This window comes from Homo sapiens, chromosome 7 (assembly GCF_000001405.40).
Source record: "Homo sapiens chromosome 7, GRCh38.p14 Primary Assembly".
Classification (NCBI taxonomy): Eukaryota; Metazoa; Chordata; class Mammalia; order Primates; family Hominidae; genus Homo; species Homo sapiens.
Genome location: NC_000007.14, coordinates 81946072 through 81970420, shown reverse-complemented (window position 1 = coordinate 81970420; position 24349 = coordinate 81946072). Strand labels below are relative to the sequence as shown.

At 32.4% G+C, this 24349-nt stretch overlaps 1 protein-coding gene across 16 annotated transcripts in view; it reads left to right on the top strand.

Annotated features, from left to right (window-relative positions):
* Nucleotides 1-23977, top strand: part of CACNA2D1 (calcium voltage-gated channel auxiliary subunit alpha2delta 1) — a 497513-nt gene extending 473536 nt beyond the window's left edge. For 10 of the 16 annotated variants that reach the window (XM_005250574.4, XM_005250572.4, XM_005250573.4 and 7 more), the window contains 12 exons: nucleotides 437-540; nucleotides 1448-1534; nucleotides 2758-2825; nucleotides 3214-3252; nucleotides 4756-4827; nucleotides 6062-6214; nucleotides 6313-6365; nucleotides 7926-7981; nucleotides 8398-8527; nucleotides 10592-10701; nucleotides 11064-11146; nucleotides 19913-23977. In XM_005250574.4, the coding sequence (XP_005250631.1) occupies nucleotides 437-540; nucleotides 1448-1534; nucleotides 2758-2825; nucleotides 3214-3252; nucleotides 4756-4827; nucleotides 6062-6214; nucleotides 6313-6365; nucleotides 7926-7981; nucleotides 8398-8527; nucleotides 10592-10701; nucleotides 11064-11146; nucleotides 19913-20029 (1072 nt within the window). In that variant the 3' untranslated portion in view covers nucleotides 20030-23977. Of the gene's footprint in view, nucleotides 1-436; nucleotides 541-1447; nucleotides 1535-2757; nucleotides 2826-3213; nucleotides 3257-4755; nucleotides 4828-6061; nucleotides 6215-6312; nucleotides 6366-7925; nucleotides 7982-8397; nucleotides 8528-10591; nucleotides 10702-11063; nucleotides 11147-12872; nucleotides 13377-19912 lie in introns of those variants that run through there. The other 6 variants (XM_047420822.1, XM_047420820.1, XM_047420821.1 and 3 more) reach the window with 2 other exon arrangements.

The window sequence follows — 24349 nt, the reverse complement described above, 5'->3', positions numbered from 1 at the left end:
TCTCTTTGTAGATACAAGCTAAACCAGTGAAATGAACACAATGATTATAACCAATCAGCAATATTTATGTAGCACTTTATTATCTTTCACTCTTCTTTGATGCATCTTATCTCTATTATCTTCGTAACAGTCCATGAAGTAGGCTGAGTAGGCACCAATGCTTACTAACATTAATTGACCTATTAACTTACTTGTCCTGTTACCTGACTAGTAAACAACGGAGTAAAACTAGGAGTTAGCTTTTTCTGATTCTTAATTTAGTGCTATGCTGATGCATTGCTCAGTAATGAGTATCAGTTATGCTATCAATTACCACTAACTTCTTTAGACATACCTGAGATGTAGGCGTATCTGTAAAGCTCAGCAAGTCCACATAGGATAAAGTAGGTTATCAGGTAGATTAAAGAATACAAATGATGAGCCATTTCCTCCTTAGGGCTGGAGAAAATTGGCAAGAAAACCCAGAGACATATGAGGACAGCTTCTATAAAAGGAGCCTAGATAATGATAACTATGTTTTCACTGCTCCCTACTTTAACAGTAAGTATTGCTTTGGAATTCAGCTTTTCTCAATTTTTTAAATAATAAATTACTGCTACTATCTGCTCTCCCCCCAAATCACTACATTTTATGTTAACTACTCAGAATAGTCATCATTAAAAATAGAGTATTTGCAAGGCATTAGGAAAATAGAAAAGAAACATCATTTAGTTGAAGAAGCAAAATGCATACACAGCAAACAGTCTTCCAGTAATTTAGAGATAGCATATCTGTTAGGCATGCATAAGAAATAGAAACACATGTAGATAATCCCTCATATTACAACTGAAAATGTATTGAAAAACATTTAAGGAATTAAATAGAGTAATTCCATTGATTAATTACATTTTATCAGTATTATAAAATATAATTATACAATTAATAATAGCTTATCTTTTAAAATATTTTATTGACTTATTTCCCAAAAACCTTGTAATTTAATCCCTGAACATCTTTGCACATAGGTAGTATTTACCTTCATTTTCCTAAATGGGGAAACAAGTTCAGAGAATTTCAAAGTTTTGCCCAGTGACATACGTCTTATAAAAGACAAAGTCAGTTTTATGCATCCAGGATCAATCTTTCCACTTCACTTCAGCAGAACTACTTAATATTTTAACAAATGTTGTGAAGTAGAGATTTGGCATGTATTCATTATGTTGTGAAAGCAGATGCAACCAAGCTAATTAATGTCCCCGAATCAATTAATACAAACCAATTCATGGATATACCAGTTAGCCTAGTGTATACAACGGAAGAAGAGAGGAAGGAGAGCACAAACATTTTATAGTTTGTAGATGCTAGAATTTTTAAGCAAAATACTATCCATTTGTATCTAATGACGGAAAATCAATATTATTATTCAATATATCTTGATAGGTGTTTTATTTATTTATTTTTTTTTTAGAAAGTGGACCTGGTGCCTATGAATCGGGCATTATGGTAAGCAAAGCTGTAGAAATATATATTCAAGGGAAACTTCTTAAACCTGCAGGTAAGGATAAATATTAAATACAAAAACACAATCAAAATTAAATGTTACTTGGCATTTATATTATAAACTGGCAATGTTTATCAAGAAGGTCATCAAAAGGTGTCAAACAAAATAAAGGCATGCACACTTAAAAAAATTAAATAAAATATGACTAGTTACCTCTGAAGTTGGGATAAAATCAAATTGATACTACATAGATTTGAGGAATTTTCAAAACAGTGTGTATGTTTATACTCTGACACAAATTGATGGAATCAATTTAGTATAATAATCAAAATTTTTAATGTTGGATTAGCAACCCACCTCCAGAAGTCTCTCTTAATACTTTAAAATACGTACAAAGTTATATGGCCAAGGAGTTACATATTTGTACAAAAAAGTTAAGTTTCCAGCCCTGAGGGAAAAGATAAATATGGCATATTTATACTATATTCTAGTAGGCGTCTGTTAAAGTGAATTAGGTAGGGCTCAGTTAAAAACTTGCTATAAAATATATAGAAAAATGACTTTTTGGAAAAATAGGCAAGTAAACAAACATAGTAAAAGTGAGCATTAATGAGGATCGGAAGTGGGCTAGAGTGAGTGAATACAATAAAGTAAAAGCTATTAGTTTTTTTGATTGTATGATTCAGTGTTTGAAGTTTTAAAGGAGAGTATTTTGAGCCTTCCTGCTCCTGAGGACAGCTTTACCCCATCAGCGGATCTATTACATGAATTCACTCCATCACTTACTCACTAACTCACTTACCTATTCCTTCATTCACTCAATTGCTCAATTACTTACTAAATCAGTTATTCTCTCAGCCATTCATTTATTCACCCACTCTCCTACTAACCCACCTACTCATCCATTCATCTGTTCACTCTTTCAGCAAAGATTTATTAAGCACCTACTGCAAGCACTGGTGGGGTTAGGGAAACATCTTAAAATATACCGTTTGAATGACCTCAAGTTTATGAGGCTCTCCTGACACTACTGTTTTTTATTTAGCTTATTGTATTAGTTAATTGGTCAGGTTGTGGCTAATGAATACACTCTTTTGTGAATATGTTACAATTTATGTAATAGTTTAAGAGCTATTAGCATTATTTCTTAATGAACACAAAACTAAAACTTCTGTAATAAACTATAGTCTGATACTTGCTATCAAAATAACTGTCATATTGCAAAGGTTGTATTACATCTAATTATACCTTTGAATTAATTCAAATTAATTTTTCAGTTGTTGGAATTAAAATTGATGTAAATTCCTGGATAGAGAATTTCACCAAAACCTCAATCAGAGATCCGGTAAGATATTTTTAAAAAATTCTTATGCTATGTTTAATGTTTTCAAAATTCAATAGAAAAAAATATAAGGTCCTTATACAGTGGCAAATACATTCTCAATACCACTACACTGAAGTAGAATTCTGAATTCCTATTTTTTCAAAGCTTTTTTTGTTTAAATTAGTCAATATGTAATAGAAGTATTTCAAGGTTATAACATGCAATGCTAGTTTATATATTGATTGACATTGTCTAATAAGATAAAACTTTTGTTTCTTATAGACTAGACTGTTTAATCTTATTTTTCTACTGGATAAATTATTTCAGAATTTCTAATTATAACATGGTAATAATATAATTAAAATCCAACTTTTAAAAGTGAGGTGATAATCGCATTTTTGTCTTTCAGTGTGCTGGTCCAGTTTGTGACTGCAAAAGAAACAGTGACGTAAGAAAACTATTTAAAATCACTTTTGAGTACAATATTTCCTTGTGTTACTCTTGCTAAGACTATAGTGATGAAAAAATATGCAGGAATTTTTTAATCAAAGGCTAAAAAATTCTATGGAAATGTGAAATAATATATTCATTTGAATTTGTATGCTTTTGATTTTGAATGTAAAGTGCTTGAATTTTTAAAAATATGTATGTATCCTTGGAAGGTAAAAAAATGGTCATGTCAATATGATGGTTCTCTTCGGTCTCAACTGTGTTACATTCTTTTGTACATATTTATCTTTAGCTCTATTTCTGGATAGGAAGTTTCTAACCAAAGCAACCCTATTGGTTATCAATGCAGTTTTCTCTCACCTATCACACTTTCTCTAAATTTGTTCACACTGTATTATATAGTTACAGGAAAAATGTTTTAACTAAACCTGGAAGTATTACAGTTTATTATAAAGTTATAGTTACATGGATTGAGTTTTAAGGTGTCTTGTATTACTTTCACTTCTGTTTGAGAAATTGAAAAAGGAAATGTGAACTTTGTTCAAAAGTTGAAGATGCTCTAAGAATGATACTAGATAAATAATTCTAAAAATTGAATAACAATGATGAAACAATATTTTCTTCCAGTCCTCTTTTGTGTGTCTGTATATCTCCAAGGGAAGCAGGGGGTTCATATCGTCTTTATCACTCCTACTCCTGTGAAATTATGAGCCAATAATTTTAATGATTTTTGTAACTTATCTATTTCACATAGACTATGCAGTAGCTGTTTTAAGAGCAAATATTTTAGTAATAAACTGCTTCCACATTAGGAAAATGCAATGCATTACATCCTCAACTTTGAAAACCATGTTTTTATTTGTGATTTTTATTCAATACAAATTATTATATTGATTTTCATACATTAAAACATGATTTAAACTAGGTGGGAATTTATCCTGTGTTTCAGGGTGAAGTAAGTATTAACCATGGACATTTTTTGTTTTGCGTTTTGCTTTTAAATCTCCAATTATCCAACTACATATTTTTAATCTAAAATATGAAATAATTATAAATAGTCTTATAGTACTGATGTGTTTTAAGTCTGTGAAACAGGACAACTAAAATGATATTTTTTTAAAATATCTTTTTGTCAAAATCCTAAGTATGTGTTTAAATCAGTTACTCATTATTAAATAATTTTCTCTATCCAGTTTTCTGGATCATTTAGATGACCCGGAAATGGTAAAAAGATTATTTCTAATTTGCTCTTCTGATTTGTTCAGACTGAATTGACAGTCTCAAGTGGATGGTTGGTGTTGGATTATCAAGCCTGATGGTTTGATATAAATCTATGCATGCCTTTATTTCACCAGAATTTAATGAACATATATGTTCAAGAGAAGATAGGCATTTAAAATTTTCTATTTTTATTGCTCTAATCATGTATATAATGGGGTAAAGACAATGCAGCCTCCTAACCTTTCTAAAAATGTGTTAACTGTTCACTTTATTTTGATAGGTAATGGATTGTGTGATTCTGGATGATGGTGGGTTTCTTCTGATGGCAAATCATGATGATTATACTAATCAGGTATGTACCTCAAATAAGAGGGAATTAGGCTTTCCAAAGTGTGTTTCCCGGATCAACATTACAAAACCTCTTTCAGTGTTTTAGAAATCGATGAGTTGTTTTATTTCTGTCATACAATAATTTGTAAAATGCTTAATGTTATGTAAACCATTAAGAAATGCATGCTAAGTCTAGTTTTTATGTTATTTGATTTTACATTTTAGTACTGGTATCATTAAAACATACAGTTAAGGATTTTAGCATGACATGAACTTTTAATCTTTCTGATATTTAGAAAACTTTCACTTCAACATTTGTCAGTTGATGGTATCTAATTTAATATATAGCTTGTTAAAACTGATGTGATTTCTAGTCTCAAACCTGCAAATGAGCAGCACATAGGCTATTTTTAACAAATTTGAAGTAGATGCCAACTAATTTCACTTCTGAATCTGCATTCCTGGCTTCTTTCTTTTGAAAAAACAAAGCAAAAATATCTCAACCCTGGGCTTTGTTTGTTTTTTTTCTGGATGACAGGATTTATGGGGTGGAGCTGATTCACTCATGATTGCCCCTTTAGATGGGACTTGTTCCAGTTCATCACAGCCCCTACAAGTTCGTTTTCTAGGCCAGCCTGCTCTCTCATTTATGCCACTTTTCCATTCCCCAGGGGGGCATTTGATCTTTTTTTTATTGTATATGTTTAAGGTGTACAAAAAAAAGCTTTGATTTGCATAGTTAAGTGATTACTGCGTCAAGCCAATTAACATATCCATCATCTCAGGTTGTTAACCTTTTTTGCGGTATGGTAAGAAGACTTAAAATCTACTCTCATCAAATTTCTGGTAGACAACACAGTATTATTAACTACAGTCCTCTGTTGTATGTTGAATCTCTAGGCTTATGCATTCTACATAACTGCTTCTTTGTACCCTTCCACTTATACCTCTCCATTCCCCGGCCCTGTTTTATTCATCTGGGAAGCATTTGATTGTGATTTAATGCTTAGTAATGTGTGTCCATTCTTTCCACAAATAAAATATCACACAGCCCCACTGAGTAATGAGAACACTTACTCTCATTTTAGTTTGTTCACAGTGTCATATACACGTTTCTCATTTGCTTTTGTTTTTAAGCTCCTCAGTTGTAGTTCAGTTTCTTTGTATTATTTCTTTTCACTGTAGTGGTGATTCCCGTGTTCATTTTTGGCTTACATTTTAAGTGCACGTTGCTTTATGATTTTTTTCTTCACCAGATTGGAAGATTTTTTGGAGAGATTGATCCCAGCTTGATGAGACACCTGGTTAATATATCAGTTTATGCTTTTAACAAATCTTATGATTATCAGTCAGTATGTGAGCCCGGTGCTGCACCAAAACAAGGAGCAGGACATCGCTCAGCATATGTGGTCAGTAATATCCACGGTCTAATCAATTCTCAAGGGGTACTCAAGTGTCCTCAGTATCAAGTAGACTACTGAAATGACCTTATTATTTTATTTTATAGCCATCAGTAGCAGACATATTACAAATTGGCTGGTGGGCCACTGCTGCTGCCTGGTAAGTCAAAATTTTAGTTTTATTGGTAATGAAAGAAAGAAGTTGTAAAATAAAAAAGCATCTGATGAAAATATGGATTTAGGGGATATTCAAATTTTTATTAAGGGAGTTAAGTTGTTTTCATTCTTTACATCACCTATTGGTAATATTTATAGTTTTTCCTAAGTGAACACTATAAAGTTACCATTATTCAGTTTCTCATATGAAAACAATGTTATGCGGATGTAAACTTCAGCCTCTTTAGAGTCTTCCTTCCTCTACATATCTATTGAAACTCTTTTCATTTGTATTAAATATTTATAAAAACATTACACTAATTTCTTTTAGGTGTATTGATCTGTAAGAAGTTACAATTTGTCTTTAATATCCCAGTTGGATGTCTACATGCATCAAATTCATGGCATGATGGCAACCTTCTACCTCTTTACTATTGATACAAGGACTAGTATTGTTTTAGGGGCATCAGGTTGCCGACATGGATCTAATTATTTCTTTTCACTGATGCTACCTTCCAAACCTCCCTCAACCCTCACCTGTAGACCCTACAACCTATGAAAATAAGACATTTAAATGGTCAATTGTGGCACTGTGGAAGGTCTGGAAGATCACATTTCTCATTGTTTAGTTGTAACTAAACCTCCTGTTACGTCTGGAATCCATGATCTCCCTCTTCCCTCTCTCCCTTCTAATCTTTTTTTTTGTATCATCACACTGTATTGTTAGCCCTATTCCATGTAGATTAATGTACAATATTCATTTGATGTTGAGGTTTGCCCAGCTAAAATTAAGTGACTATATCATTAAAGCAGCAAAAAAGATTTTAAAATTTTGAGAGTTTTTAAAAGATTTAGAAAATTCTGTTTTATTCTGAAAAATGGTATTTTCTGATGTGATTTTATATATTAATTTCAGTAGGCTTTTAAAATTTCATCATGACCCTGAAATACTTGGCTTTATCCTATATCCCCTCCCACCCCCACTTTTTTTTAAACTAAATTCAGTTCTAGAAATTTGGCTCAGTTGTCAGTTACTGTAAAACTGAAATGTGCTGTATCTCTCTAATATGTATATTTTGTTTCATGAAAGTTACATTACATATTTACAAATATATTCTATATTACAAAGTAAATAGTTAACAAATTCAAACCCATGGTATAAACAGCATTGTTTCTTTGTTGGGGGCGGGGGAAACCCAAAAAACAAATGGTTTTAAAAACTAAAATAAGGAGACGTAATGAATGTGAAAACCTACGCGCTGAAACAGACATTCTCCCTCTTAGAGTGAACTCTTCTGCTTGATAACATTGCCTGTTAGGTTTCTTCACACATTGTGTCCCACTTGATCCTGAACAAGATCTGAACACTTCTGATTTCATGACTTCTTTTACACATTACAAAAAGGTTACAATGTGTTATATAATTTTGAAAATACTTAAATAAAAACACTCCAAGACTTTCTTTCCCAAAAAGATAAAGGGAAACAGTATTTATGTGTATGGGTACATGTAAAAACACATTTTTTCCCTAGATGTTTATTTTTTTTTTATTTGAAAAATTCAGGTCTATTCTACAGCAGTTTCTCTTGAGTTTGACCTTTCCACGACTCCTTGAGGCAGGTATGTAAATGCTCAGACCTTGTCATTGCCATAACAATAAAAATTTTCTTTTGGGATGTGCTTGAAGTTCAACAAATTCAGAGAATATTTGTGTGAAAGAGAAAACAGGTCACCCATCTCATAATTTTAGAGCTAGAAACTTTTTGTCCAACCTTTCCTAATGTTTTAGAAATTACCTAGGTCACACGGGCCTGATCTCATAGCCATCTTGTATTTGAATTCATTTATTCTCTTGATATTTATCAGGCATCTATTACGGGCTGCCACGATATTACACAGCAGTAAACAAGCCAGTCGAGGGGTCCTGGTCTTATACGTTTATTTTGCTCTGTGAGAAGTGAAGACTCGAGGGGAGTGACTACAGAGACCCCTCCTAATGGTGTTCTTTGTTTTTACACCGTCCCCCGCCACCCAAGTTGAGATGGAGGATGATGACTTCACGGCCTCCCTGTCCAAGCAGAGCTGCATTACTGAACAAACCCAGTATTTCTTCGATAACGACAGTAAATCATTCAGTGGTGTATTAGACTGTGGAAACTGTTCCAGGTAATTTATTTATTTCAGGAGTAGTCCTATTTCATTAAGAAATTGTATATACTGTTATAATCATTAAGAAATTGTATATACTGTTATAATCATTACAGAAAAAACTGAAAATTGTGTTGGAGTCAGAGATGTGAGTAATTGTTTTAAGCTGAAAATGTCAGCAATCTTTAGTTTCTCTGTAGACTTTTAAAATTTGTAATTTTTAAAATTCTAACTTTGATAAGCTGTTATTTCTTCAACTATAATAATTACATGATCAAGATAATTCCTTTCTCTTTAGGCAGAACATAGAGAAATTTGATTATATTTTAACTTTTTTTCCTAAAATAACCCATATTAAAAATTTCTAATATAAAGTTATTAAATATATTAGTAATTTAAATAATTCTAAGCCAAATATTATTTATTTTTCTATATAGTAACTAAACAGATTTACAAAAAAAAAGTCTTGTTTTGTTTTGTTTTTACTTCTAGTCTTCTCTGACTTGAAGAACTGAATGTTATCTTTATTTGAATTTGAAGGAACTGGGAAAAATACAGTTTTTTTAGGTCATGGTTAATGTTAGTCAGTATCCATAAAATATCTTTTAAAAAGAGATGGAGAATTTAATTTTGTTGTAATGAGGGTAGAGGAGAAAGGCAAGATGGGGATTTTGAGGGGAAAGTAATAATTAATGCCACAGGATTCCTGAGAGGAGAGCAGCAAGTCACAGCTTACAAAGCACAGAGTAGAGACACTTTGTTTTTAGAGGTGGAGGGAAGATTATTCTAGAAGAAATGTTACCATAGCGGAAGAAGAAATAGGAGGAGGTGAGGTAATCTGAGATTATGAAAGTGCCAGAATAGTTAAAAAAAAAAATTTTGCAAGAGGGGCTAAGCAACCTATCATGAATTTTTAGGAGACGTGGTCAGTATGTTTTATGACTTTCTTTAGCAGACCTCTATCTCCAAGGAGGAGGTAGAGTATATAAAGAGGAGAGGAAAGGGAAGGAAGAGTCAAGCATGAACTCAGAAAAAAAGCAGACTGTCTTGTTTAGAGGAGATTAGCATATCAGGCTATGGACTTCAGGAAATGGGATTGTGGCATGTTTATTGGATACATCAGAGTTTCACAGACATTGGCCTTTTATTAATTGACATCCAGCAAGAGCAATTGGTGTGCTTAAAGAAGTAAGTTAAATTGTAAAGTGAAGAAGGTCAGTATAACCAAGATGTTAAATTGCATCATACTTTCCTTTTGATTTGCTTTATGGAAATCAAAGCTTAACAGGGCAAAAAGAAAATCCCACTTTTCTGCAAAATGTATAATGATAAAGAAATTACTTTTTTAGTGATATATTTACATTTTTTATGTTGGTTACTAAAGTAAGAGCAGCTTAAGGTGTGGACAAAACAGGGGATGGAATTCAAAACCCTTGATTCTGTCCATGTCTGTGTTGCCCAGTGCAGTAGTTACCACCTATAGGTGGCTATTGAAATTTCAATTACAGTTAAATTAATTAGAATTAAAATTTTGTGCCTCAGTCACACTTGTCACATTTTAAGTGCCCAATACCCTCGAGTGGCTAGTATTTACCATATTGGACAGTGCGAACAACTTTTCCATCTTCACAGAAAGTTTGCTTAATAGCACTGTTCCAGACTTTTCTCTGCCCTTAGGTTGGGCAAGATGCCTAGACATTTTTGTATTCCCTGTTGTGTTATCTGTAAAATAAGGCAACTTTGGCATAAGCATCACAATTCTTTGTATGTGTAAAGAAAAACTTTTTTCTATGTACATCAACAACTAAATTGTGCTTATTTTGCAATGAGGATTAATACTTTAAAATGGTCACACATAAAACATATATTGCAATTTTTTTATTCATTTGACATAGGTAATACGTTCATGCTAATAAATGAAGCATTTTTTTCTTCTAAAATCATACTCCTATTGTGCTGGGAATGGTTTCTGTTTCAGATGTCATATTTTGTCTTTCATTTTAATATGTAAGAATCTTTGAAAGATTTCCATTTATTTTGGAAAAGATACTCATTTTCTATGATACCATATTTATTTTGCAGAATCTTTCATGGAGAAAAGCTTATGAACACCAACTTAATATTCATAATGGTTGAGAGCAAAGGGACATGTCCATGTGACACACGACTGCTCATACAAGCGGAGCAGACTTGTATCCTTTGACATCAGAGCTATCTGGAAAGGAAAACCATCTTAATGCATTTTGAATCTTGTCACATTGTTTATATTCATAAAGAGAAAACTATTAGACTGCTCTGATCACCTCGCAAAGGCAGAATCGATTCCTCACTCAAAATTTGGTTGGAATGTCAAGAATAATTATGCTACACATGCCCCAGAAAAGGATAATTCACAATTTAGTTCTTTAAATCCCTATGTACTTGAATTGTGTTGGATGAGAGTAATGATGTATAAGTTATCTCTCTCACATGTTTTGGGAAATACATTGCATTGTATTTATTTTTAATCATGTGAAAAAAACTAACATGAGATTCCTTAACAAGTCTCTTTTAGCTGACGGTCCAAATCCTTGTGACATGGTTAAGCAACCCAGATACCGAAAAGGGCCTGATGTCTGCTTTGATAACAATGTCTTGGTAAGATCACACTTCTACTGGATTAAAATACTATAAATTAATGGTCACTGTCCGCAAGAATTCAAGGATACAAATTGCAATTTTAACTCAAACGTAATGTCTTAACCATAGTTTTTCTCATTAACATGACATACTTGCTGGTAGATTTTTTTCATTTCAGTAGTTTTCATGGTTAGCATAAACTTGACAGTTGCTTCTTTTATATGTCCTTCCCACAGAAATTGTGCTTTCAAACACAATTCCAATCAATTTAACTCATAGTAAATGTTAATTATGGTATATTTGTTGCCTCCATTTATATTCCAATCCTGAAGATATAAAAGTTAATTTTATTATATTTTTGTTAGTTATATTTGTCTTCAGTGAATTGAAAAACCTGTTATACAGCCATTGTCTTATTATTACAGAGTTCTAGTGTGAATTGAAAAACCTGTTATACAGCCATTGTCTTATTATTACAGAGTTCTAGTTTCTTTTGGATGGTTTCTGATGCTATCACATATTAGACTTCTATTATTTCCTTTAATTGTACTAATTTCTTTTTCTAGTGTTTGAAACTAGACCAGGTCAATTACATAGGGTTTGATAAAATATTACAAATCATATTTAATATATGTCACTTAAAGATGGCTTACTACTTTTCCTATAGTTCAGCTATCTTTCTCTAATAAATACTATTCTGATTTACTGTGTATTGATTATATACAAGGTAGGTAATATGTCATCAGTATGTACTACATTAGCTTTATGCTTTTAAAATTCTTAAGAAATATTAATCTATTCTCAAAGATGAAGTCTACATAAAAATCTCTGTCTACCTCTTTTTAACTAATTTTAAATACAATACTTCCTAATTCTGATTCTTCAGTGTGTGCACACACCAATGAATATCCAAACTTGTAAAGCATTATCTCATAAATTATTTGAGTTATTTAGTTTACCTACTCAAATACATAGCTGCATTTGTCCCAGAAAGGACAAAACATTTTCACAGATAATATTATGCAATTAGATAATATAAATTAAAAATAGCACAAAGAAGTAATAAAATCAGTAATGGGGACTAAAAATGAAAGATGTATTAGCCAGTCAATCCCAGTTATCTCTGTGAGGGATTATTGATCCTTGCTAGGGAGAGTAATTCAACATTGCAACTAAGCGTTTTTTTTTTCTTTTTAAGATATATTAAGTCCAGATAGGCGGACTCCTGTTATTCTGTCTACTGCAACTTCAGCACGTTGCCCATGTAAAATTATTCCCCCAAAGAATGTTTTATGAAGGGCCAAGGGTCATGTCACTCATTAGAGAAACTTCGCTCATCAACTATTTGTCACCAGTTTTTTGACACTAGAAATATTAAATTCAGATGAACTTGAAAAGTGACTTAAAAGCCTATTGCCCAAAATATTATTCTAGGAGGCTATATCTTATGATCAAGCCATTAAAAGGATTTGACCAAGACAAAAATGTTCAGCAATTGAAGCTCCTATAAATGGGTTGTGTGTGAAAGTACAACTGTTGCTCAGTAGCTTGGTGTGCTAATAATATCTTGTGTTTCTTTAGCAGTGGAGTTATTTTGGTAATGCTTATTTGCAATGGTCACTGTGAATCTGCTCTGGATGGAGACTCACGTTAACTGCCAGCAAATTGCATGAAATCTCATCTTGTATGTCTTCTGTGTTTTCTTTCCTTTTCCTATACTTGCTACTTTGCCCGTTATTAATAGGATCAACTTAAGTGCACAACGAGTCGTGCCTGTACCATGATGTCAGCTCCTATCTTCATTTTACTGCAAGTTTTCATGTGGTGTGGATGGTCAGTCACTTTCTCTAATTTTTCTTAGTTTTTGTTTTTGGCTTGAAATTCTAGAAAATCACCCATATTCCTAAATCTGCGATATTAATGTTCCTGAAACCAGGTTATTAAAATCTCAGGACCAATGTTGTTGTTTTGTAAATAGCTGATTTCAAATGGCATGTACATTTCTAATCCTAAATGAAACATATTCAATATTTATGTAAAAATCATTTTTCATAAAGTTTTTGTGTAAAAATTGTCATTACAGAGACAGATATACAGGCTTCATGGTATTTTATGAGAACTACCTAATGACAATTTTTAGAGGTGGTTATCTCAATTTATTTACAAAAGATGCTAACACAAATTTAATGCACTCTTTCAATTCCTTTCAGATTTTTCTACTTTTTAAAATAAATCTGACTTAAATAACTTTTTAGATTTTTTACTCTCAAAATATTCTTATTGAAATATTTTAGAATAAGTGCTTCTAGTTTCTAAGTTCATTTTATTTAATATACATTATCTAGCCCAAAATTATTAATTAACCTTTTAAGAAATTTCTGAGTTCTCTATTCAATACTACTAAAGAGATGTTTTGGGTCTTGGATTTGCATTTAGTTCTTCATTTACTGTTTTGCAATTTCTTTTCTAATGCTCTGGAATCATCATGATGTATTACTAGAGCACGCACTTTCGTTGTGTTTGTCATTGGTTTCCAAGTAGTCATTGATTAGGAAGCCACTAGATGGAGATGTGGCCATTACTATGAATGGAGTGAATTCACAGGCAGGGGTGATAGAGGGTGGGGAGTAGAATAGCAGAGGGAGTCTCAGAAAATAACCACAAGTCTTCTGGCATAATAAAAGAATAGTTTTCATGGCAAAAGACGCCAAAGTAAGGAAACGTTGCTTTAATATCTTCATATACACATTTTAAAAATTGATATATAGGCAATTATTTGAATTATTATTAATTCCTGAAAGAAGTTCATAGGTAGTCAACCATTACACAAGAAAAGTGTAATCAAATTATATTTCTATAATTGTCCTTATTTTCCCTTTTGATTCAAAAGCTTACTTCTGTCAATCATAGAATTTTTAGATAAGATTTATAGGTTATCAGTTACACTAAAAAATATGTAAGTATTGCTCTTGAGTAGGCCAGCTCTCTTTTTACCTTTCTCTTAAAAACTTATAGCAACGGCTGGGTGCAGTGGTTCAAGCCTATAATCCCAGCACTTTGGGAGGCCGAGGTGGGTGCATCACCTGAGGTCAGGAGTTCGAGACCAGCCTGGGCAACCTGGTGAAACCCCATCTCTACTAAAATACAAAAATTAGCTGGGCATGGTGGTCCCAGCTACGCCAGAGGCTGAGGCAGGAGAATTGCTTGAGCCTAGGAGGTGGAAGTTGCAGTAAGCTGAGATTGTGCCACTGCACTCCAGCCTAGATCACAGAGCTAGACTCCATTTCCAAAAAAAAAAAAAAAAAAAAAAAATATATATATATATATATATAGCAACAGTGACTTTAAAATCTTTTTAACCTAAGACCACCACCCCCCCCCCCCCCCACCAAAATAACATTTTCCTATTATGGTACTTTCCTTGAACTATAATTATAAATCTATCATGGCAATAATTATATATCACCATGGACTCAACTAGGATATTTATGTACCAGATAATATGCTTTATAAATTGTGTTTGCATAAAATAATAAATTTCTCAATGGACAATTATTGACTTGCTTTACTTCTTTGATTAATAAATGTTAGCTTTTTCATTTGCTTGAGTTTTGATGAAGTCCTCATGGTATGGAGCTTCATAATTGTAGAAGTATAATCTATATCCTTCTGATCTCCAAAAAGAAAACATTTGAGATTCCTTTATATTATTGTATCAAAGGAATACATAATATCGATGATGTATATTTTACATTAACAAAATATGCTTTCAGTATTTAAAAACACAGTTATCTGTATAGAACAGTGAATCCACTTAGTGCTATTTGAATGTTGATATAATGATATCAAAGGAAGTATTATTTTCTCTGAAACAATTAAGTTGAAAAAAATCATTACAAAAAATACTGAAATGTTAGTTGGCAGTTGTTTCCCACATTAAGGACCATAAAGGTTATGGTCTATGCTCCAATGTAGTCTGGCTAAAACTAGCAATTTCTGTTGGATTAGGTTCTGCTCACAAGCAAGGTAGAATGGTAGTATAATCTCCAAAGCCTACCAAGGGGCCCTTATACCCGGTAGAGTCCGGAAGGATATAGATTATACAAAAACAGTTATGAAGCTCCATACCATGAGGACTTCATCAGAACTCAAGTGTTCAAACAAGACTTTTTGATAACAAGTTTATGAAGACTCAAAAAGCTAACATTTATTAATCAAAGAAGTAAAGCAAGCCAATTCTGTCCATTGAGAAATTTATTATTTTATGCAAACCCAATTTATAAAGCATATTATTGGGTACATAATCTGTCTACATTTAAAGAGTTGAATAAATATACTACTACCTACCTATCTCACGAGTTAATGTGTAAGAGTGTTAAGGTGACATGTCGGAGAACAAATTATTTGCTAGGGGCATTATTCCTATTATTATGCAGTATCTACATGCCTAAAAATTTTTAAATATAGATTGTCTTCAAAGTTGCTGGTGGTAACTTTAGTACAGACTTACCTGAATTCAAAAGTTAGTCCATGATTTGATGGCTGTCTTCACCAGCGATTTGCATTTTGAAGGAAATTAAATGATGGCTATAATTCAGAAAAAAAGATCAAAAACCTTTTAGCCAAATGACCAGAACATTTTCTTTTGAAACATGTACTTCTAAATTTAATAAATTAAAAATTATTAAGCTTGTACTGTATGCAATTAGTTGTCCCAGGTTCTGAATGGGGAAAGAAAGGCAGAGTAAGAGTTTAGCAACAGTAACTTCAAAAGATTTTAGCCACTGGTAACGCATGCTGTATGAAGAAAACTTTGGGGCAAAAACCATATGAATTTTACTATGGTTTAGATTTTTTAAAGAGTAATGAGAAAGGAATAAAGAATTCTTAGTTGATATCTTTAATAACACAGTCTTTTAAGGGAGGTTCCCCTATAAGGAAGTCTAATAAAATTAGTTTTATCATATTTTAAAATAAATATATATATAATATTGGCACTGCATTCTTTTTCCATTTTAATGTTCTAAACTGAAAGTACCAATCTGTTATTTTCTACTTAAATAATCATTTAAAAATCAGACCGATTTATTATATCTGGTCATGGTGTCAGTGGGATTTCAGTCTCTATAGGACAGAAATAATGCTGAGTTCCTCCCACATCAGTGCATTTGTGTAGAATGTATGCCATAATAAGACTTGAAATGATTCTATGAAATACATTACATGGACTTGCACCATGCAAAATGCTTGGGAAGACATGATCAGGAAACTTAAAAGACACATTTTTCAGTGTGAACTGACATGCACACCACAGGGAGCCCAAATAACTTATCTAAACTACCACCTCCCAAATAGAAACAGACATATCTCATCATCACACAGAGGAAATTAAACAAAAATTATATATAAAAATAAAAACAGTGAAATAAGGGCCAAAGAGAATATTTTTCTTTCCATAACACATTTGTAGAGTATAAAGATGACAAAATATGTTATTAATACACAAATGGGTCTTGTGTGGTAATTTTTATTCAAATTAACACTTAATCATAACTGGGGAGTACTCCTGTTTAAGTGACAATGACTTCTTTAAGTTAATACCTCATAGTGTTTCTAACCAGTCCATGTGTGCTGCTTTATTGAGTACCTACTCTTCATTTATCAAATCGTTGCTATGTATCTAGCCACTCTTCTGTGTATGAAATACATTTATATAAAGTATTTGTTTTTTTTTTAATCTGATATTCAATTGTTACTGGTACCCTGTTTTTTATCTGTTTACCCTACCTGGAGAGAAAAGCATCTGAACAAAAAGAACAAATGCAAAGGCAGTAAACAGCTTGGCCTGTTGCAGAGAAAGCCAGTGTTACTGAAGCAGAGTGAGTAGGCGGGAGAGGAGAAGGTGGGAAGATGAGACAGCCAGGCTCCAGACCTCATAAGGCTTTGTAGACCTCAATAAAGAATGTAGATTTTGCTCTGAGAATGATGAGAAATGTCAAGCAGGGAGTGAAAGAATGTGTGGTGTTAAGAAGACTGCTTTTTGGAGAAGCGTTTATAAAAGGGCAGAGTAGAAGCCATGGGACAAGTGAGACAGCTTTTGCAAAAGTGGAAGCAAGAAGTAATGGTGACTTGGACCTGCAGTAGTGACAAGCAGTAAGTTTGGGGATGTATTTTGAAGGTAGAGTTAGAGGATGGATTCCCAGCTGAAACCCCCACTCTGCAAAAAATATAAAAAATTAGACAGGTGTGGTGGTGCACATCTATAGTCCCAGCTACTTGGGAGGCTGAGGTGGGAGGACCACCTGAGCCCAGGGAGGTCAAGATCATGCCATGCTATTTACTGGTACCAGATATTTACTGATACCAGAAGAATTATATTAGGGGCAAGGCAAGTCAAGTTTGAAATCCCTATGAGACATACAAGAGGAGAAAGGTAGAGATCAATGAATACACAGACCAGAGGAGAATACAGGATTGAACATACAAAAGAGTGAGTTATTAGGAAACGGATGAAATTAAAGCCATAGGACTGGGGATTAGATCATCTAGGAACAAAGTGTAAAGGAAGAAGAAGAAAGGAGAGAGAAGTAACACCTGGAAAAGTCTAACATTTTAGAGAGCATGAAAGAAAGGAGGTCAAGCCAAGGAGAGAGACACAAACAAGTTTCAAGAAAAACCAGAAGAGTACATTAGCCAAAGGTACATGAGAACGTATTTCAAGGAGACAATGTCATATATTTGTCAAATGCTTCTGAAAGGTCAAAGAGGATGAAGACTAAGAATTGATTATTTTATGATTCTATTTAGATTTGGGATGTAAATTGATTGAAACTAAAATTTTTTCATAGATTCTTTTCTCCCAGCTTTCTTTCTTCTTAACAAAATAGTTCTGCTGCCTTAAAATACAATTAAAGAAATAATTTTATTTACTGTGTGGCAGCACTGTATTAAATCCTGGTGAACAAAAAGAGCCAAAGTTCTTATTCTTTGGGAGCTTAGAATCTTTGTAAAATTATCCTGAAAGAAAATTGTTCAACCTATTATTTTGATTCTTAGAACATCTACCTTGGATTAGCAGATTCTTTAAAGATGTTTAAATATATGGTCTTTCAAATAATCCCATCAGAAAGTGGGCAAAAAACATGAATAGACAGTTCTCAAAAAATGATATACAAATGGCCAAAACATATGAAAAATTGCTCAACATCACTAATTATCAGGGAAATGCATGTTAAAACCACAATGTGATACCACCTTACTCCTGCACTAATGGCCATAATAAAAAAATAATGGATGTGGTTAAAAAAAAAAAAAAAAAAAAAACACTTTGTACACTGCTGGTGGGAATGTAAGCTAATACAACCACTATGGAAAACAGTATGGTGATTCCTTAAAGAATGAAAAGTAGAACTACCATTTGATCCAGTAGTCCCACTGCTGTGTATCTACCCTGAGGAAAAGAAGTCATTTTATGAAAAAGACACTTGCGCATGCATGTTTATAGCAGCACAATTCAAAATTGCAAAAATGTGGAACCAACCTAAATGTCCATCAACCAATGATTAAAGAAAATGTGGTATATATACAACATGGAATACACCTCAGCCATAAAAAGGAATGAAATAATGGCATTTGCAGCAACCTAGATGGAGTTGGAGACCATTTTTCTAAGGGAAGTAACTCATGAATGGAAAACCAAATATTGTATGTTCTAACTTCTAAGTGGGAGCTAAGCTATAAGGATGCAGAGGCATAAGAATGATATAATGGACTTTGGGGACTTGGGAGGAATGGGAGTAAGGGATAAAGTACTACATACATTCGGTGCATTGTACATTGCTTGGGTGACAGGTGCACCAAAATCTCAGAAATCACCACTAAAGAATTATCCATGTAACCAAAACCACCTGTTCCCCAAAATCTATTGAAATAAAATTTAAAAATAATAAGGAGGTTTTTAAAAATGAAATTCACTATGTTAAAAGGAATTAAAGGATGTGGACAATGTTATCAAATATAGAACCTAGGAATAAAAGATGAATAATACTTTTGCATTAAGAGGGAACTAAATGAGCTACCACTAGACTGTGGGGAGTTAATGGGAGTATATTCATTCTAATATTTCTTGGTTGTCTCAAGACAAATCTCTTCCTAGCTTAGCTCTCTATTTTGGATATATATTTGCAAAGCAAAATCCTATATGTGTCCAAATAATGTATTTGAACCAACATAAACAATGGTTCAAATACATTATTCCCATTTTACTTTAATTCTTGATGAAGGTCCAGATGCTATGATTGCACTCTATGTTGAGCCTTATAAATTGTATAAGAAATATGGGAAATGGAAATGTATTTATTTTACCAGTCCCCAACTTTACCATATGGAGCATAGTTGCTAAAATCATAATTCTTGGGAATTATAAAACCTACTATTAAATTTTACATTTATTTCTTGCATTTATAAATATATAGGATTTTTGATACTGTGAAAGTTTTTTCTTTAAAATTAGTATATTATTCAAACAGCATTTATTATTTTCTTTCATAATCATCAAAAGCTACAACTAAAAATTTAAAGCATTTGTCAAATGATGCTAGGGAAATTCCTCAATGATAAAATCTAGGAGAAAGTAATTTCTTTGGATTTCAATTACAGCAGTTTTATAAGGTAAGTTCAGAAAGTGAACTAAATATGGATTACTCTGAAAGATGTGTTACTAAATATTTTTCAAGATTTTTAGATTTTTCTTTTTCTGTTCTTTTCTTTTTTTTTTAACAACAGGAGGATTATACTGACTGTGGTGGTGTTTCTGGATTAAATCCCTCCCTGTGGTATATCATTGGAATCCAGTTTCTACTACTTTGGCTGGTATCTGGCAGCACACACCGCCTGTTATGACCTTCTAAAAACCAAATCTGCATAGTTAAACTCCAGACCCTGCCAAAACATGAGCCCTGCCCTCAATTACAGTAACGTAGGGTCAGCTATAAAATCAGACAAACATTAGCTGGGCCTGTTCCATGGCATAACACTAAGGCGCAGACTCCTAAGGCACCCACTGGCTGCATGTCAGGGTGTCAGATCCTTAAACGTGTGTGAATGCTGCATCATCTATGTGTAACATCAAAGCAAAATCCTATACGTGTCCTCTATTGGAAAATTTGGGAGTTTGTTGTTGCATTGTTGGTGATTACATGTGAAAGGGTTCCCCATACAATTGTTAATGAACCATAAGAAATGTCTTGATATTGACCTGGAATTTTGACTTGCTGCAATTTTACTAAGAAAATCTCTAAGGGGAAAGAAATTATTTTTGCCTTCACTTTTTCTTCTGTGAAAAGTTAATTCCTGCTTTAAGTAGCAATTATTGAAATATATAGAGAAAGAGAGAATTAACATTGGTCTAAATTGTTGAAATATAAATAATGGCTAATTTTCTATGAAAAATTTGCCATGAATAAAATGCCTTATGAAGAACGGCTTCTTTGCCAAAAATAAAACACAATTGATGACCAATTCAATTTTGATGGGGTAATGAATTGATGGTTTGAAAATAGTAACTAAGAAATTATTAAACTAAAGGTGCTTGAGGGAGAAATTAGAATATGTGACATATTTCCTCATAAATGTAAGCAAGCCCTTAATAAATGCTTTGATGTAATGTTCCTTTTGTTCACAGTACAGTTATGTAGTGCTAGCCAGATATTTAAAAATGCTCTAAGAAAAGCTTGTCAGGGGGGAGGGGGAAATGTTTTTCTTGTGATAAATGAACTTTGGTTTACCAAGGGTATTTTGCATGATGCTGCTGCTATTTTAACTTTTCAGTTGTTTTTTCTCTTACTGTAGAGTGTAGTCATTGAAAAGTTAACTGAGTGATATTGTTATGTAAGAATCTGAACCTTGCAGTGTAAATGCACTTAAGTCATCTTTAAAATGTTGTTAAACTACTCTGAATATACTGTGCAATGTAAATGCTGAATGATTGGGGTTAGATAAATGGTGAAATGAGAATTAATGAATTTTATACAGATTCATGCTTTCGCCTGATAACCTATGTACAGATATTTTAAGTACATAAATCAGATTTGACACATTTATTTTTTGAAAAGTACATATATGTTCTCAATGAAGATTCATCCTAGGTTTCCTCTTTGTTCGTTTCAATAGTAGCACATACAATCCAAAAGTTCCTGCTACTGCTGCTTTTGCCCTTCCATTTTAAATGGTATGATCGTTTGGCCAAAATTTCCATGCAAGTTGATAAGGGTTTTACAATAATCTGAACAAATAGGAAACCTTGAATCTCTATGTATGCACATGAATACTTGATTGTGAATAATAAAAGTTGTTTTTTATACAGCCTCATTGGTGAAAATGGTTAGTGTAGTAAATCAGATATTTCATTATAGACTAATATGGTAGCAGATTATTTATGCTTTTAAAAATTATTTTCTGGAGCAAACAGTATTTGAAGAAAAGGTAAAAACTATGAATGTGTAATTCTAAGAATAGTTAATAATTTTACTGAAGGCTGAACGTATGTAGATATTTTTTATGATAAAATGCAGTTTTTCTTTTTTTGGAACATGCCAATTACTGGTATGTGTATATGCTGGAAATTTTCTTACATATCCTTTTTAAGTCAAAGTTATTAACATTATCCAGCATGCTTTAATATGCTCCACATATCAAAGATATAACCAATAATTTAACGTAGCTTAAAAGATAACATTTGTTTTGTTTTTAGCTTTGCATACATTTGTAATTCCCTCCCACCACCAATATACCTTAGGTACCATTTGTGTACATTTCAAGATTTTTTTTTTCAATAAAAAGGTGGGGGGAAATGGAATCACTTTGCCAACTATTGTTCTAAGAGTTGACATCAGTTACCATTTCTAATGCATTGTTGTGATTTTGTAGTGTCATTCATAACTGGTATTGACATTTTAGAAAACACCAAAGTGATTTAAAATATATGTGGGGAAAAAAACTTCTCACTCTAGTAACAATGTTTTAATCATGTTGTTTGTTAAATATTTAAAAGTTATTGTTCAATTTTTGCTAGACTATCTTAAATCATGATAGTGTTGGGAAGGGGGTATCAAAATATAAAATTGTTAGTTTGTGTATATAAACAATGCACATTAAAACAATTGAATTGCTTCCAGCATACAACAAACTACCTTAAAATTATGTTCAAAATCTATTAAATATATTTTCATGGCTAATGTCGAGTATATGTTTTCATCAATTACATTGTTATTGTATTAATCGCGGTTAAACTTGGCATCTCTTGGCAGGATCCTATTTAATTTCTGTTGCCATCAAAATATATTTATATGCATGAGTTTTGCTATAAACCTTTATTTTCTGCTATAAAGTTATATATTATGACAACCATAAATGCAATTACAAATTGGGTAAGAACAAGCTGAATAAAAGTTGTTCCCATGACTAATATTAGTCTTCATGCTTTTAGCATATTTTTTAAGACAGTAACACTCATCCCATCAAATTATTACATTACATTTAGTATTTTTCTGAGTTACATTGACAAGAACTTAAATTATAGCCTGTTATTAATATTGATTTCCAACGACTGAACAGTACAACAGATCAATAAAAAAGTTTATACACTGCTTTAACTAATTTTTGTTATACTCATGTGGCTTAGTGTAGTTAGTCACTAAAACAGAGTTCAAGTGAGCTTGGCAATGGTGTTGAGTAACAAGAAAGAATTTTGCATTAATGATTTCTTTTTATTTTCCTCATTTAAACAACCAGCATTACTGCCAAACACCAACCGTGGTCCATATTTGTAACAGGTTTTTAACATGACATAGTTAGCAAGTTTGATTGAAGAGATTTTTAGGTCCTGGGCCTATAAGATTTTAGTATGATCTTTTTTCATGTTTCTAATGCTTGAGGTGTTACTGCTTAACTTGGGAAAAAAAAAAACAAAAAACAGTGTTCCTGCCATTTGTAAGTTTTCCTATAATATTCCTTTTATTAACTTTAAAACTGGACTTATCGGGTTCAAATAGGCAGTATCCCTTTTAAGTGACCTTTGCAACCCAAGTGTTACTTGCTTATTTGATGCTCTCTTGTATTTTAAATCTCATTTAAATCTTTGTCTGTGACCAACAAAGCTTAAGATTTTGTCTTCATTTAAAACTCTGAATCTATTCCATTGATCATGTTAGACGTTCAAATGTTTAATGGTATAGTCTGACCTAGTGAAACAAAATGGATGTTGTTACTTTTTTTAAAGAATAGAATGAAATAACTATTTCACTTGCCCAAAATTTTAAATATTTTTTCATCTAAACTTGTATTGTTTCCCATAGCAGAATGTCAATATTCACAGTACATTTCTGTAAAGAGCAAACCAATATAATGTTTTGAGTGTTGAAAAAAATTCCAGATTTTTGAAGAATTAGACAACTCTTCATCTACCTTATTTCTAGTTCACACAGTTATCTCAAATTCCACTGAAACTAATGGGATACTGTCTTGTGTAGATGCCAGTTGAGTTTATAATGTGACCTAGTAAAGCTGTCTTTTTTGTTGTGTTGTATGAGTGTCGGATCATGCTTTTAGGAATACTTTTATTAAAATGGTGTGCATTCATGCAAAAGGCCAACTGGCTTTTGTGAACAATAGATCTTTTCTCCCCTTTATTTTGTTCTCTTGACACTTTTGTGAAAATTACCTAGCCTGATAAAAACATTTTGTAAAAATTTGTATAATACTGTTATAAAATATTTATAATCCCAGAAAATGTTGTGTTAAATCTTGTGCAAAAACAGTATATTCAGAATAAAAGTTTATCATTTAAAGTCACCACGCGGTTTGGGTTTTCTGCTTTTTAAAAGATCCAGTTGGAAGAGACAGATGGCTCTGTCATAAATAATTTTAAGAGAGAATTCTGGATTGTGGAAATAAAAGTTGGGATTAAATAGTGCTTTTACAATTACAAACCTCAACTCACACAAATACAGTCAATCCTTGAACAACATATGTTTGAACCACATGGATATACTTATATGTGGATTTTTTTCAACCAAATGCAGATTGAAAATACAGTATTTGCAAGATGGAAAACCCACATATACCAGGTGCCTACTTTCTGTATACTCAGATTCTGCGGGGCCACTTTCCAGACTTGACTTGGGTATGCATTGATTTTGATACACGTGGGCATCCTGAAACTGA